Source organism: Homo sapiens, chromosome 11 (genome assembly GCF_000001405.40).
Source record: "Homo sapiens chromosome 11, GRCh38.p14 Primary Assembly".
Taxonomy (NCBI): domain Eukaryota; kingdom Metazoa; phylum Chordata; class Mammalia; order Primates; family Hominidae; genus Homo; species Homo sapiens.
In genome coordinates, this window is record NC_000011.10 from 111,695,308 (window position 1) to 111,710,518 (window position 15,211).

The 15,211-nt window shown below is 40.0% G+C and overlaps 2 protein-coding genes across 10 annotated transcripts in view; one reads left to right on the forward strand and one right to left on the reverse strand.

Moving 5' to 3' along the window:
- SIK2 (salt inducible kinase 2) overlaps positions 1-15,211 on the forward strand; it is a 128,407-nt gene that overhangs the window by 92,859 nt on the left and 20,337 nt on the right. For both annotated transcript variants that reach the window (NM_015191.3, XM_017017417.2), the window contains exons 5-8: positions 5,579-5,703; positions 6,145-6,268; positions 7,896-8,116; positions 9,680-9,832. In NM_015191.3, the coding sequence (NP_056006.1) occupies positions 5,579-5,703; positions 6,145-6,268; positions 7,896-8,116; positions 9,680-9,832 (623 nt within the window). The remainder of the gene's footprint in view (positions 1-5,578; positions 5,704-6,144; positions 6,269-7,895; positions 8,117-9,679; positions 9,833-15,211) is intronic.
- The window catches only part of PPP2R1B (protein phosphatase 2 scaffold subunit Abeta), a 78,390-nt gene that overhangs the window by 7,308 nt on the left and 55,871 nt on the right, over positions 1-15,211 (reverse strand). For 4 of the 8 annotated variants that reach the window (XM_047427191.1, XM_047427190.1, XM_047427192.1 and 1 more), the window contains exons 16-17: positions 3,438-3,573; positions 1,595-1,660 (exon numbers count right to left, since the gene is read on the reverse strand). In XM_047427191.1, coding sequence (XP_047283147.1) covers positions 3,499-3,573 — 75 coding nt within the window. In that variant the 3' untranslated portion in view covers positions 1,595-1,660; positions 3,438-3,498. The remainder of the gene's footprint in view (positions 1-1,594; positions 1,661-3,437; positions 3,574-15,211) is intronic. The other 4 variants (XM_024448600.2, XM_047427193.1, XM_047427194.1 and 1 more) reach the window with 1 other exon arrangement.

A 15,211-nucleotide genomic window follows, 5' to 3' on the forward strand; every position in this document is an offset into this window, starting at 1 on the left:
CACACTGCTGGAGATTAAAAATTGCCTCAGTGGTGTTGATTCCTAGAAATCATTTACTTTTCCTTAGCTTGAAGATTGGTTTTCAATGTTTTGTGTGCTTTTTTCCTGTTTTAAAAAAAAGGACTTAGTTTAACCTAACGATTTTCTTATTTAATCTCCTATTTAAATAAAAAACCTAAAAGTATTTAGCAAGTGTAATCTTTTGCAACAGTAAACATTGACAAACTGTTTAAATCTTATGTATATTTTTCACCGCCTCTGTTTTATTCTGTTTTCTGGCTAGTCAAAAAGTGGTCTGGAGACCAGCAGCATGAGCATCACATCAGAGCTTGTTACAAATGCAGAATCTGAGGCCCATCCCTAAATGTACTGAGTCAGAATCTGCACTTTAGCAGTTTCCCCAGGTGATTTATATACATGTTAGTATTTGATTTATTTCATTATTTCATTCCAACAAACAGAATTCTCCATTTTGTATTTGGTTCCCATTAGACAACAATCATCAGAGTTAGCTTATTTACTCTATGCAAGACCCTCTTATTCCTAAAACATTGTGCCTTTGCTAATGATGTTTGGGCACTGATAATTTATATAATTTAGTGATGACAGTGATAATGGTTTTTGTTAGGACCATATAGGTCAGTCAGTCAACTTTCAAAATACAGAGCAGAAAACAATAGCAGCTCTAGGGCTGTGTTCAGATATATCCTTGGTCTGCTGCGGCTGGTTAATTAAGTAAGAGACAGAGGACTCAGCTTTTGAGGCCTAGTTGATTTTCATGAGAGTCGATAACTGATCTGTAATTAAAGACTCTACCCCTAATCCTCTTCTATAAATATTTCAGGCCATATAGAACCCAGGTGAGAGAATATGAATACAAATTGGAGAAGACTAAGGAATCATGAGGCTAAATGCAATGTGGAATCCCTGAACTGAAAAGGAACATGTGACAAAACTCATGAAATGTTAAGTCTGTAGTTTAATTAATAGTAGTGAATCAGTGTTTTGATAATTGAAGCTTAGTTTTGATAATTATACTGTAGGTATGTAAAATGTTAACATTAGAGGAAGCTGGGTGAAGGGTATGGGGAATTCTGAATTTACTGTTGCAACTCTTCTATAAATCTAAAAGTATTTCAAAATTAAAAGTTTAAAAAAGTCAAAATGAAGCCACGTGGCATGGCATAAATGTTTTGTTTATAATAGCAAGCAGAATGTCTGAGGAACATAGCCATAGTTTTAGGTATTAACCTGCATATCACAATTAGAGAAGACATTAAACTAGAAAGATGTTTGCTTTCTAGCAGGGCTAGGCTGGATCTGAGTCTGGTAGAGAGAGAGACGAATGCCCAAGTGATTGTTTTCATAATGTTTTCCAAAAGTCAGATGATGATGTGGAGTCTTATTATTTTGTGTTGTTGCAAGACTTCTGTGTTTGTACAGTGGTTGACATGTGTATGGAATGCTGATGTTTAATGAAGGAATGAATGAATGTGGTTAGTATGATGAAGCATGAGTATAGTCCATTTCATTTGAATAAATGGCAGTAAGAAATAAATCCTGCATTTTCACATTTCATTCCCCCCCTACTCACCTCCCACTTCACTATATGCATTTAGGCAGAAAGCTGCAGACTGGGTGAAGCAAGTTATCCAGATTCCTGTGAAGAAATTAAAAGGCTCTTATTTTTAAGTGTCTTTTGCTGCCACTTTTTAACCCTGACAATTATTAACTTCTTCAAAAATAACTATTTTTGACATGCCAGTGAGAGACATAAAGGTGGTGGTTAACAATGAAGGCTCGAAGTAGTTAAACTTGGTTTCTATTCCACTGCTGCAACTTAGTAGCTAGCTGTATAACCTCTGGCAAAATACTTAACTTTATACCCTCACTTTCTCCTAAAATAAGGATACTTCATAGAACTAAGAAGAAATTATCTTCAGAGAGTTTAAATCAGCTCCTGTCACATAGTAAAGCACTTTTAAGAGGTGGGAACAACATATTCATCTAGCAGATCTTTATCGAGCAGCTGTTGTCTGCAGATGATATGCTGAGAGCTGGGAGTACAGAATGTTGTCCCCCATTCCCTGCTCCCGAGGAACTTAGTCTGATGGGATAGACAGATAAGTAAAATAATAAATAATAATAGCAATGATAGCTTCTGTTTATTGACTACCTACTATGTTTCAATCGCAATATAATATCTATTTCTATTAATTCAACTACTTCATGAAATGTAAGTGTTGTCCCTATTTTTCAAATGAGGAAACCAAGGCTCTAAGAAGTTAAGTAATTTGTCCAAGATTGCATAGCTAATAGAAAACCCAGGATTTGATCCCCAATCTGCCTAACACCAAAGTCTTCCTTAACCCATTCTTCAGATGATTACAAATACAGTGTTTGGCAGAGGGCAGTGGCTCACACCTGTAATCCCAGCACTTTGGGTGCTGAGGCAGGAGGGTCACTTGAGCCGAGGAGTTTAAGACCAGCCTACACAACATAGTGAGACCTTGTCTCTACCCAAAAAAAGGAAAAGAAAAAAGGAAAAAAAAATTAGCCAGGCATGGTGGCGTGAGTCTATGGTCCCAGCTGCTTGGAAGGCTGAGGCAAAAAGATCACTTGAGCCTGGGAGATGAAGGCTACAATGAGCTGTGATTCACACCACTGCCCTCCAGCCTGGGCAACAGAGCAAGACCAGTCTCAAAAGAATATATAAATATAACATTTGAAGTGCTTTGACAAGGTTATAGAAGACCTCAGCACATGTAATATTGTAACAGCTTAGTGAGCCTGTCTTTCAGTGTTTCTTTTAATATCCCTATAGACCCAAGTTTCTATATTCATATTACCTACAGAAAATAGAAATAACTGCTTAGTACCACTCCTCCTGTAAGCAAACAGGAAGCTTTCTTTGTGCTAGATTTGTAAAGCAGAGGTTGAAACTGGGCTACCACGGGTCCAGAGAAGTGTTCCCAGCTCTTGTTCTCTTGCCTGTGAAGTGTACTATGAGAGCCTAAGGCAATAAAGAGGCCAGGCCACCTTCTTGACAGGCCTCTGTCCCATTCACTCCTTTGAGTTTATTTCACCAGCTGTGGGGAAGTTCAGAATGAAGTGGCTCTATAAGGGCTCCTGGAGACATTAAAACTTACCAATGGGCCAGGTGGTGGCTCACACCTGTAATCCCAGCACTTTGGGAGGCCACAGCGGGTGGATTGCGTCAGCCCAGGAGTTGGAGACCAGCCTGGGAAACATGGCAAATCCCTGTCTCTACTAAAAATACAAAAATTAGCCTGGTGTGGTGGAGCACACCTGTGCTACTCAGGAGGTTGAGGTGCGAGGACTGCAGTGAGCTGAGATCGTGCCATTGCACTCTAGCCTGGGCAACAGAGCAAGACCCTATCTCAAAAAAGAAAAGAAAGAAAGAAAAACAACCTTACCAGTGCTATTTGGAGAGTATCCTCAATTTACAGGCACTAAAACTCATCCTGTGATTATGGTTTAAAGTGCAGCAATTATTGTATGTATTTCAGGATCTCTGAACACACATCCGAGAGCTTCTTGTGCTGCTTTATCCTGTGAGTGAAATTAACATTTGAACATAGTCCTTGACTCATTTAACATCTAGTCCTTGACTCATGAGAACATCTAGTTTTCGACTCATGGGAACATCTAGTCCTTGACTCATTTGAGAGTATAGTTTTTCTAGAAAATTAGAAATATATATATCTGTATGTGTCCATATGAGATATGATGTTCTAGGAGTGGTTAGTCATAGAGGTGGTACTGTGAAGATAAGGCCTTTCTGACAGTCATTTTGGAAAGTGGACTGTGGAGCTGAGCTGAGGTTACATTGTAAAGAGAGAACTTCTCCCTGGCACCACCTTTGCCTCACACTCCTGGATACCAAAGGCAGACCACAGTGTTGTTCACCAGGTTTAGACTGTATCTGAAGCTCTTTCCCCAGATGTACCCTCTTTTCTCTCCTAAACCTTGAAGCTCCCTCTAAACTTTTTCTACCCCTCCTATCTACTTTTTTGGGACCTTTTTCTCTGAAAGGCAACAGTTGGTGGTAATGGTTTCACAGGAGGAGGAGAGCTGACCTTTCACGTCTAGTATGCTCTGGCATTTTACATTCTTATTCTCATTTAATCCTCACAGCATCCTATCTGGGTAGGTGGATTATCACTACATTTATAGATATGGAAAAAATAACTTTCCTAGAGGACTTGAAGCTTGAAAGTGATAAAACTGGTAATTAGCTGTAGTTCTCATAACTTCATAGGTTGTACTCTTCCATGAAGCTGTAATAATGGGGATTGTTACTGTTATTACTGTTACTACTGCTTGCCTCTAGTTTTTATGTTAGCAAGCTAAGAGAATGCTTTGCCTAAGGTGCACATGTATGTATGGTCTCAAGGTATGAATGGAGTGAGCTTATTTTAACACATTGGGCCTTTACAGCAACCTGCTGACTAAGTGTATTTATCATTTTCACTTTACAGATGGGGAAACTAAGGCTCACAAAGACTGATCCAAAGTCACAAATCCAGTCAATCTGTCTGGCAGTAGAGACTTGATCCAGTCTTTCTTGAGCCATCTCTTAAAGCTCACTGTGCATGCAATGCTGTGCTCCAGCTGGGTGGAGAGCCAGTTCCTGTCACTGAGACAGGCTCTTCAGTCAGGAGTATGTAGCAACATAAGACAGCATGAGTATAACTTAACAAGATAATAGGTATTTGTTTCTTCGGTAAGAATATGAGACTATAAAGGCTTAGCAAAAGGGTATGAACTTGCATTTGTAACAATACTTACTAAATTTTTTAATGCATGTTGAAGGCATCTAAGTAGTGTTTCCAGAGTGCATTCTCTGTATCAAAACTGTAGAGTCAGTATGGCTAAGATCATAAGGAGAAGGCCATTAACTGTTTTGAACTATAATGCCACTGCGATCCATAAATTAGTAAATAAGTGATGGTGATAGGTGGCTTGTGGCTGGGCTATGTGGCCATCATATGTTAATGAGCTATTCAGATGGTTATCTGCCTAAAACAGGATATGTGGACCAACACTTAGAGGGTTGTTACTTAGGAAACACTGCACTCAGTTGCCTTCAAGGGTTATATATCTGGGGTAATGGCAGCCAGTCACTCAGTTGTGTTTAGGTGAATGTCTTAGAGCTTTACTCATTTGTTTCTTTCCTTATAGACCATTTAAGATAAAGAGCTCTTTAGCAGTCATCAGGTAATTGAAATTCTAAGATTATCAAATACTAGTTGGGTTGTCCACTTTAAGGCTGATTTTCTTTCACATGATATAAAGTATTTTTCCAGTCTCTCACTTACTCGCTTTGGGAAGAAAACTTGATTCATTTACACATTCATTCAGCAACATTCCTTGAGTACTATTTGCTAGTCATTGTGCTAATGCCAGGGAAACATCACAAGATAAGATGCCATCCCAGTCCTCACAGTAAATAGTAGTGATATTGTTAATATAGCATATTAGAAAATTTATTACAGAGAAATGCAGTATAGTTTGAGAGCATAGATGAAAATAACATTTATTTCCATCCTAATAGATTTCGGTTTTGGAAATTTCTTTAAAAGTGGTGAACTGCTGGCAACATGGTGTGGCAGCCCCCCTTATGCAGCCCCAGAAGTCTTTGAAGGGCAGCAGTATGAAGGACCACAGCTGGACATCTGGGTACTGCTTTGCTTTGCTGTGTTGTTAAATGCATCTATACTGATAATACTTGGTGTTCTGGCCCATCTTAGAAGCTCCTGGTACTTAACACATAAGCAGTATTTCATATTTTCCCCATCCACTGGACTATAATTACTCAGAGCATCTTGAAATGGATCCCTAGGAAAGAATTTCTAAGGATAGGTGTTGTCATCCTAATATCAGCAGTAATTTAAAGTTAAGTAGTAATCAAAATTATCAGATTCAAATTCTTTGGTATTTATTATAAGATACTTATTGTAGTAGTCAGGGTTTTGGATTTTTTTCAAATTCTGAGAAAATAATAAATCCAGACAGGAATTTTTCAGTCCATATGATTTCAAGAGCCCTGGGGATGTTCAGGAAAACAAAGAGTGTTTGACGTTCTTGGTAGAAAAGTCTCTGCATTGTTTTCTTCCCTAGAGTATGGGAGTTGTTCTTTATGTCCTTGTCTGTGGAGCTCTGCCCTTTGATGGACCGACTCTTCCAATTTTGAGGCAGAGGGTTCTGGAAGGAAGATTCCGGATTCCGTATTTCATGTCAGAAGGTAATCAACTTTTCATCTTATTAATGGTGTTTTACAGTGTTAGTGCTCCAAGTGAAATGCCTAGGTAAAAGCTTCTTTTTTTCTAAGAGTTTGGGTGCCAAATAAAGTGACTGAGCTGTAGGTTAAAAGCTATAGAAAGAAGCAACCTCCTTTATGTAGGCGAGACAGGTTCCAGCCTTCTACTTGTAACTAAACACACAGCATTTCCCAGATTAAGAGCAGCATGTCTTCTCATTCATTCTGGGTCTATAAATGTCCCAGGTTTATTTTAGATTTAACGAAGCCCTTTGTAGATACAGATTCACAACCATTTTACTCCAATATGAAATGAACTTTATAAAATTAAAATTTTTTTAATTAAATAAAAAGCCAAACTGGCAAAACTCTGCTAAATTCAGATGATATGCCATAATCCCTGCCTGTCGTGTATTGAGCTGTTACCTAGATAGCAGTTAAGTTTACCCCTTAGTTTCATTTTGGTTATCATTCTTAACTCTGTTCTTTCTACTAAGAGTAGAAATAATAACTCTTCATAGTTAAGAGCATGGACTGTGAAGGCAGACTACCAGACTGCCTGGTTTTAATCCTGAGTCCACTGGTTACTGGCCATATGACTTTCACAAGTTTTGTCTCCTCTCTATCTGCTTCAATTTCCCCATCTATAAAATGGAAATAACAATAGCACCTACCGCACGGGTGTTGTAAGGTTTAATTAAATTAATCTGTCAGTCAGGTGCAGTGGTTTATACCTGTAAGTCCAGTGGTCTGGGAGGCTGAGGCGGGAGGATCTCTTAAGGCCAGGAGTTGGAGACCAGCCTGCACAATATTGCAAGACCCTGTCTCTACAAAAAAGTTTTTTTTCAATTAGCCGGGTGTGGTGGCATGCACCTGTAGTCCTAGCTACTCAGGAAGCTGAGGCAGAAGGATTGCTTACAGTGAGCTGTGATTGCATTACTGCACTCCATCCTGGGCAAGAGACTGAGACCCTGTCTCCAATAATAATATAATAAATAGGCATAATCTGTGTAAAGCACTTAGCACAGCGCCTGCCATATAGTGACAGGAGGTTACCTTATGTGTGAGTGAAGAGCATCATGTCAGCTCAGAGAATATGCTAGTGCTCAAAGTTGCAGCAGTGCGGTTTTCTTGGTGTAGTCAGAAGTAAGTAATATTTTATGTACACTTTTCTCAGCTACAGTGATGTGGAGGAGAGCAGCAGCCCGTTGGAGAGCTCTTTGCCTCGCTTACGTAGCCTTAGTATATCAGCATTAGATATGACTGAGGATCGATTTATTATTTGCTTGTTCTAGGAATGAGGCTTATTTCTTTCCTTTAGTGGAAACCAAAGTCTGTTTCTAGATATTTTCAGTTGTGAAATTCAGTAGAAAGTTTCCTTTAGCCCAGAATCTGATAGACCTACACCCTCCTGTTTTTCTTAGGTATTTGTTCACCATGTGAACTTGAGAAATATAAGTAGCCTGCATGTGTTCATTTATTCATTTGACCTTCTGCTTTCCAGTAGAGGATACAAAGATTAACACCCTTGTACAAAGTCACATGAGTCAAGCAAATAACCCTGAAGTGCAAGGTGATTCTTGTGACTTTTGTAACATTGTGTTTTCTATAGATTGCGAGCACCTTATCCGAAGGATGTTGGTCCTAGACCCATCCAAACGGCTAACCATAGCCCAAATCAAGGAGCATAAATGGATGCTCATAGAAGTTCCTGTCCAGAGACCTGTTCTCTATCCACAAGAGCAAGAAAATGAGCCATCCATCGGGGAGTTTAATGAGCAGGTTCTGCGACTGATGCACAGCCTTGGAATAGATCAGCAGAAAACCATTGAGGTAAAGTGATCAGAGATTTCGGGGTTCTACTGCACTTAGCTACTTGAAATTTCATGCTCACACCTGTCATCCTGGTCTTTTAGCACATGTATCTCCAGCGCCTAGGCGTACTGTTCAGTGTTCCCTATAGATGACATCAGACTCTATTTATATTTGCTTTTATTCAGCATCTTAAATTCCTTTCTTTGCCCCCATCTGCCAAAACATTCAAGAGGAGGCATTTATAAAAGACTCAGAAAAGGCAAAGATGGAAGCTTAACAAATACAAGGTAGAAAGTTTCTTCCAAGATGAAGCATGAAGTTTTACATAGGTATTTAACTAGTTTGTATGGAATGTAAATGTGCAGATAGGCAAAGGGCCAAGCAGGAAACAAGAAGGGTAGGTATCAGGTTTAAGAAAGCCAGGGGATTTAGATTGTGAACTGGAGAAACTAAGAAGGCAAAAACAGGTGGGCTCCTGATTTGGAAGTATTAGGGGTCATAGAACTGTGAAGGGTCATGAACCTGGAAAATTCCTCTTGGCTTTTATTTCTGTCCTCGAATAGTTAGCATACTTATAGGATATACGTATTTCTAATACCTTTACGATAGTAAAAAAGCAAACAGTGCTCTTCAGGAAGAAACATAACAAGAAAGAATATCAAATGCCGCCTTGTTTGCTGTGAAAGACCAAGGCTCCGGGCTGTGCTGCCTTTCCCCCGCCACGTAGCCATAAGTGAAACCAAACTGATTCTCCTGCTTTGCTCACTTTGCGCCCAGTGATGTTTTTCTGTACTTGTCCATGAAGTGCATCCTGAGCAGTAGCTGGGCGTGTGATTCCACTGACCTGTGATTTTTGCTGAGAGTGCTCTGCATCCTGGTGCCCTGCACAGCACCCATGCCGACTGTCAGGTGGAATTAGAACCCAAAGGAGCAGTTGTTTCTCTGTTCCCTCAATATCTGGGAAAGCTGGCAGGCTAGAGATGTGAACATTTGGGAAGCAACTTTATTTTCAAGGTTTTAAGAGGGTGGGACTGCAAAAACAAGAGGAAAAAATTACCTAAGAACGGAGACATAGTGTCTCTCAATTTAGCATCCAGATGCCATTCTCCAGCCCAAAATAATCAACAGAAAGTTCTCCACATACTTTAACCATTCACTTCAGAGTTTTCAGTGGTTCAGATTTGTGTTGAAGCCATGGAATTAGAGCCTCGGGCTCAGGTTGCTAACTGACCTTACACCACCGTTACAGCTATGAGATGGGGCCATATGGCAGCATTGGGGAATGTCTACATGAGACAATGATGGCATTTTCTCTGACTGGAGAAAAATAAATGGATCTTGTTAATGTTAAAGGGCTGGTAAACCCATTTAAAGGGATCATCCTTTATATAATTAATACTAGAGACTTGAAGTTTTCTGCCTTCCAGTCACATTTTTGGAGCAGCTTTCATCTTGAGACACTTTGTTTTTCACCCTATTTTTAAGAGCACACAATTTCTTTCCTCTTTTTTTTTAGGCATGTGTAGATCATTGCATTGGTCTTTACAGTTCTTTGCCTTTACCACTTGTTTTTTATTTCAGTCTTTGCAGAACAAGAGCTATAACCACTTTGCTGCCATTTATTTCTTGTTGGTGGAGCGCCTGAAATCACATCGGAGCAGTTTCCCAGTGGAGCAGAGACTTGATGGCCGCCAGCGTCGGCCTAGCACCATTGCTGAGCAAACAGTTGCCAAGGTAATGCCCCCTTAGCTGAGAGTCTTATCTGTGCATGTGCCTGTTCACATGTTTGATACATTTTTCATCTTATACACAGGGTTAGGATTTCATCCTCTACACTCCGTTTTTCTGTAAAATTTCTGCCTGCCATTCACTAGATTCTCAAATGTTTTAGCACTTCCTCATTTTTAAGGGTTAACTTTATTTCAAACAGTTTTTTAAAATTGTTTTCATCATTCACAATGTTGAGAATTACTATCACTAGCCTTTACATTCAATTCCATTTAACAAATTTTTATTACAGATTTACCACGTGCGAGCTTCTATTCTTAGGCACTGTTGGGGGTAAGATATATAAACTACAGTCACTGCCCTCAGAGACATCGCGCTATAAAAATGAAATAAGACAAGATCATAAACAACCATCATTCAAAATAGGGAAAGATGAGAGCTGTAGCAGAGCAGGGACAGGGGAGAGAGGGGCACATCTGAACAGGGGGAATGGCATGTAAGACACATCTTCACAGATGGGGAGGACTTGGTCAGTGGTGAGTTGAAGCATTATTGTGAAGAGTTTTGAATGCCAAGGTAAAGAGTTTACTTACAATTCAAGAAGCAACAAGGACCTACTGAAGGCTGCTAAGCTGAAAAATGATAAAATTCTATCGATGCTTTAAGCTAATTAATCTGGTAGCATTATGAAGGATGGGTCAGATAGAGAAAAGAAGAAATTTGGAGAGAGCAGTTAGGAGAGTGTTACAGTAGAGATGAGAAATACCGAAGGCTTAAACTCATATGGCACTGTTGGAAGTAGAAAAGAAGGGGCAAGTATAAGAACCATCTTAGAGGTAGACTCTGTATGAAGTTAGCAATGGTTCGGAGAGGCAGCTCAGTGTGGTGGTTAGAAGCAGGGACTCTGGAGCAAATCCCAATTCTGCCACTTCCTGCTATGTGACATTTTAAGTTTCTTAAGGTCTTTTTGTGCCTTGGTTTCCCAAGTGTGTAATGGGGATAATAATAGAATGCTATGACAATTAAATTAGTTAATATCTGTGAAATAGTTAATATTTGTGAAATACTATATGCCTGGCACATAGTAAGTGCTATGTAAGTACTTGTTATATAAAGTAATAAATAATTGCTGGGGAGGAAGGGACAATATGACTTAGAGATGACTCTGTTCTTGAGCCAGAGCCTGAGAAGATAGGGGTGGCATTAACTCAGTTGCTCAGGAGGAAGATGTGGATCTTGATCCAAGGAGAGAGGCTGAGGCTAGAAATTTGGGAATCATCCAGAGGTTGAGATGAATGGTTGGTTAGTATGCTCCATTGACTTTCCTGTCTACTTCTGTAACTGACTTTGTTCAAAACAAAAATAAGGGCAGGAGAGTTTTGACTTTGTATTTCTTTGGCAGTTTTACAAAATTTACAGGATTATAATAAAATTTTGCATTGGCATCTACAGAGTATGTTTTAAAAAAGGGAATTAAATCTTCTTGATTTTAGTAGATAAATGGTATATTTTGTTATACGTACTTTATATATAAAATAAGAGTATTGGCTGGGCGTGGTGGCTCACACCTGTAATCCCAGCACTTTGGGAGGCTGAGGTGGGTGGATCACAAGGTCAGTAGATCAAGATCATCCTGGCCAACATGGTGAAACCCCGTCTCTACTAAAAATACAAAAATTAGCCGAGTGTGGCAGTGAGCACTTGTAGTCCCAGCTACTTGGGAGGCTGAGGCAGGAGAATCGCTTGAACCTGGGAGGCAGAGGTTGAAGTGAGCCGAGATCCCGCCACTGCACTCCAGCCTGGGTGACAGAGCAGGACTCCGTCTCAAAAAAAAAAAAAAAAAAAAAGTATTGATACAGATGTAAGTAAAATAATGTGTCCATATAGTTCCAGACACTTGAGTTAGGGTATCTTTGAGCACTTGGAAATCTTCGAAGTTGAATGGTATTGCTTTCAAGACCGAGAAAGAAGGAGATAAAATGAAAAACATGTAAGACGTAGTGGAACTCTTTCCTTCTTGCAAATGCCACTAGACAAAAGGATAGGAAGCTGGAAAGCCCCCAGGGCCAGCAGGCTTTCCCTGCCAAGTCTCTTTATTCTTCTTAAACATTACGCAAGTGAGGGAGTGGTGAGGGGTTATATAAACAGTTGTTCCTGAGCACGTGCATGTGTTATTGTACACGATATCCTTTCATGTCTAGACTATGAGCAAATTCCCCGGCATATCTCAAATTATATTTAATTTGGCTTAGGGTTCAGATACATAAACGTGACTTCTTATGTTCGATAATTTTTTAAATTACCAAGCACTCTGTGTCCTTTTTACTTTATGCATTGACCCAAGTCTCAATGGAACCTGCTTAGTGTAACTGAAAATGCTTCTACTTCAAATGGAGTCTTCAATGCTCATTCACATGCTTGCCTGAGAGCCTTCTGGATGCTGAGCAACAGGCCCCCTCCTCTCAGAGATTTCACATTTTGAGTTTTAGTGTTGAATTTGTTAAAAAATAGACTTCTGTTTTTATGGATATAAATGTGCCTAAAGTTTTAGTAAAGGCTTCTCACTTTAATTCCTTGATGTTCTAATTTTTTTAAAAGAAGTGGCAAATCACTTGTTTCTTGATATAGTAGCAAAAAAATTGAGGAAACAACATGATCCAGTCAATACAAAGATAACGTGAGCTGTGGAATCATGCAGACCTTGGGTTCCACACACCAAGCTGAGTGACTTCGGGCAAGTCAGCGTCTCTGAGTTCCTGTGCCCTTAAATACAGAGTGGGAACAGCAATACGTACTTCATTAGATTGCTACCAAGATACAGTTAGTTAACCTGTACCGGGAGTTTAGTTAAACAAATAGAGCACTGACATGCCAGGCACAGTCCTAGCCACTGTGGCTTCAGAAGTACCCTGGAAACAGTTGCTCCCCTTAAGAAGTTCATAGCCTAGTTACAAAATACCCATTATGACAGGGCACAGTTGCTCATGCCTGTAATCCCGGCGCTTTGGGAGGCCAAGGCAGGTGGTTTGCTTGAACCCAGGAGTTTGAGACCAGCCTGGGCAACATGGTGAAATGCCATCTCTACTAAAAACAAAAAAATTAGCCGGTTATGGTAGTGCGTGCTTATAATCCCAGCTATGCGGGAGGCTGAGGCAGGAAAATCGCTTGAACCCAGGAGACAGAGGTTGCAGTGAGCCGAGATGACACCACTGCATTCCAGTCTGGGCGACACAGTGAGGTTCTGTCCCAAAAAGTAAAACATAAAAAAAAATAAATAAAGTACTCATTATTATTATTTAGACAACAGTGGGATTCCCCTCTTAGATTTGGAGTGCTTATGTTTGCTGTATAACATGCAGGAAGTATTAGATCTAATTGAGTTGAGACTATTTAGAAAAAATACGTCATATTTTTTTCTCATACATTCTAACCACTAATTTTGGTGGGGTTTTGGGGGAGGTTTTGTTTTTGAGATGGGGTCTCGCTGTGTCACCAAGGCCAGAGGACAGTGGCAATCACAGCTCACTTTAGCCTCAACCTCCTGGGCTCAGGCGATTCTCCCATCTCAGCTTCCCAAGTAGCTGGGACCACAAGTGCATGCCACCACGCCCAGCTAATTATTTTTTTATTTTTTTGTGGAGATAGGGTCTTGCAATGTTGCCTAGGCTGGTCTCAAACTCCTGGGCTCAAGTAATCCTCCTACCGTGACCTCCCAAAGTGTCGGGATTGCAGGACCTGATGAAGGTCACACAATTAGTGAGCCACCACACCTGGCCTAACCACTTGTTTTTAACAGTCCTTCCACTGCAAGTTTCCATCAGCTGGAAACAAACAAGAATGAAACAATCACCTCCAATTCTTTAATTACTGTTTAGAGGTTGCCCTTCACAACAGGTTGTGCCTGTTTGCTAGGGCTGCCGTAACGAAATACCACAGACCTAGTGGCTTAAACAACGGAAATTATTTTCTCACAGTTCGGGAGGCCGGAAATCAGGATGAGGGTGCCATGAGGGTTGCTACCTGGTGAGGCCTATCTTCTTGGCTTGTAGCTGGCTGTCTTTTCACTGGCTTTTTTCTCTGCGCAAGTGTGGAGAGAAAGATCTCTGGTGTCTCTCCCTCCTCTTATAAGGATACCCGCTGTGTGGGATCAGGGCCCCAACCTCAGGACCTCATTTAACCTTAATTACCTTCTTCAAGGCCCTGTCTCCAGATATAGCCACATTAGTGGTGAGGGGCTCAACTTGTGAATTTTGGCAGGACACAATTCAGGTCATAACAAGTATTTGCCTATTGGAATAGCAACGATTTTCCCATAGGAAAGAACGTTATTTTCATTTTAATGGTTCTGGAGAGCACAAAGTCCAAAGAAGAGATTCAAAGCACTAAACATGTGGTCTAAAGAGTGATCACAATTTGTTGGACATAATCATTGCGTATTGACACTCTTAAAGAATATCTTGATAATATCTGCTTCCTTGGGATATTGACCATCTATTTATTTAATATTTGCTAATCAACTGTGTAATGCTGAGCATGCTGTCTGTATATTTATACCCTCTCTTGTTCCAAAAAGACTCCTTTGGTCCCCTCAGTGATCACAAGACTCCTAAAACCCACCATATTTCCTAGGAAGTGATTGTCACAACAAAAAGCGTTATTCCTTGATCCTGTCTGTTATTCCTCTAACCGAGTTCACAGTCAGTTGTAGTAGTCCAGGTCGGATGTGAACACTGTCAAGGACTATGTGCTACGCTTGGTCTGGCACAGCACCGTCTGGCCATTTAAAGCGTCCGAGCTAGTGAGAGTCAGGGACGGAGCAGTGTGTCGTAGTTAGGGCATGGGCATCTCATTTCCATATAGCACCCCCAGTCATGCGTTGCCCTAATAATTCAGACTACCTTCATAGAGAAGGAGCAGTCTAATAAAGTTGGGAAGTAGAAATCAATTCTTCAGTTTTATCCTTTGATTGAAAAGCTATTGATGGGGGTAAGAAGAATGTAGCAAATATACTTTAGTGGGAAGTGTAAATTTTACATATTGACTAGATAAAAATTTTACATAGTAGCTAGATAATTTAAAAGCCTGATATTTGAAAAGAAAAAGTTGTTTAACATCAGAAGTGGCACAGAATATAAGCTTGAGGAATGACAACACAAGGAAAGCTATTTCTTTATCACACTCTGAATGGTATGCAGTTGTTTACTTGTTTGTTTATTTGTTTTGGGGCATCCATACCATTCTGACACTTTGCTAATGCTACTTTATCTTATACAGTATAGCCAGTGATATTAATATTGGAATATACCAAATATAAAGTATGTTGAAAATATATTCAGAGTATATTCAAATATAAAATATATTTCTAACATATCCCCCCATCCTTGA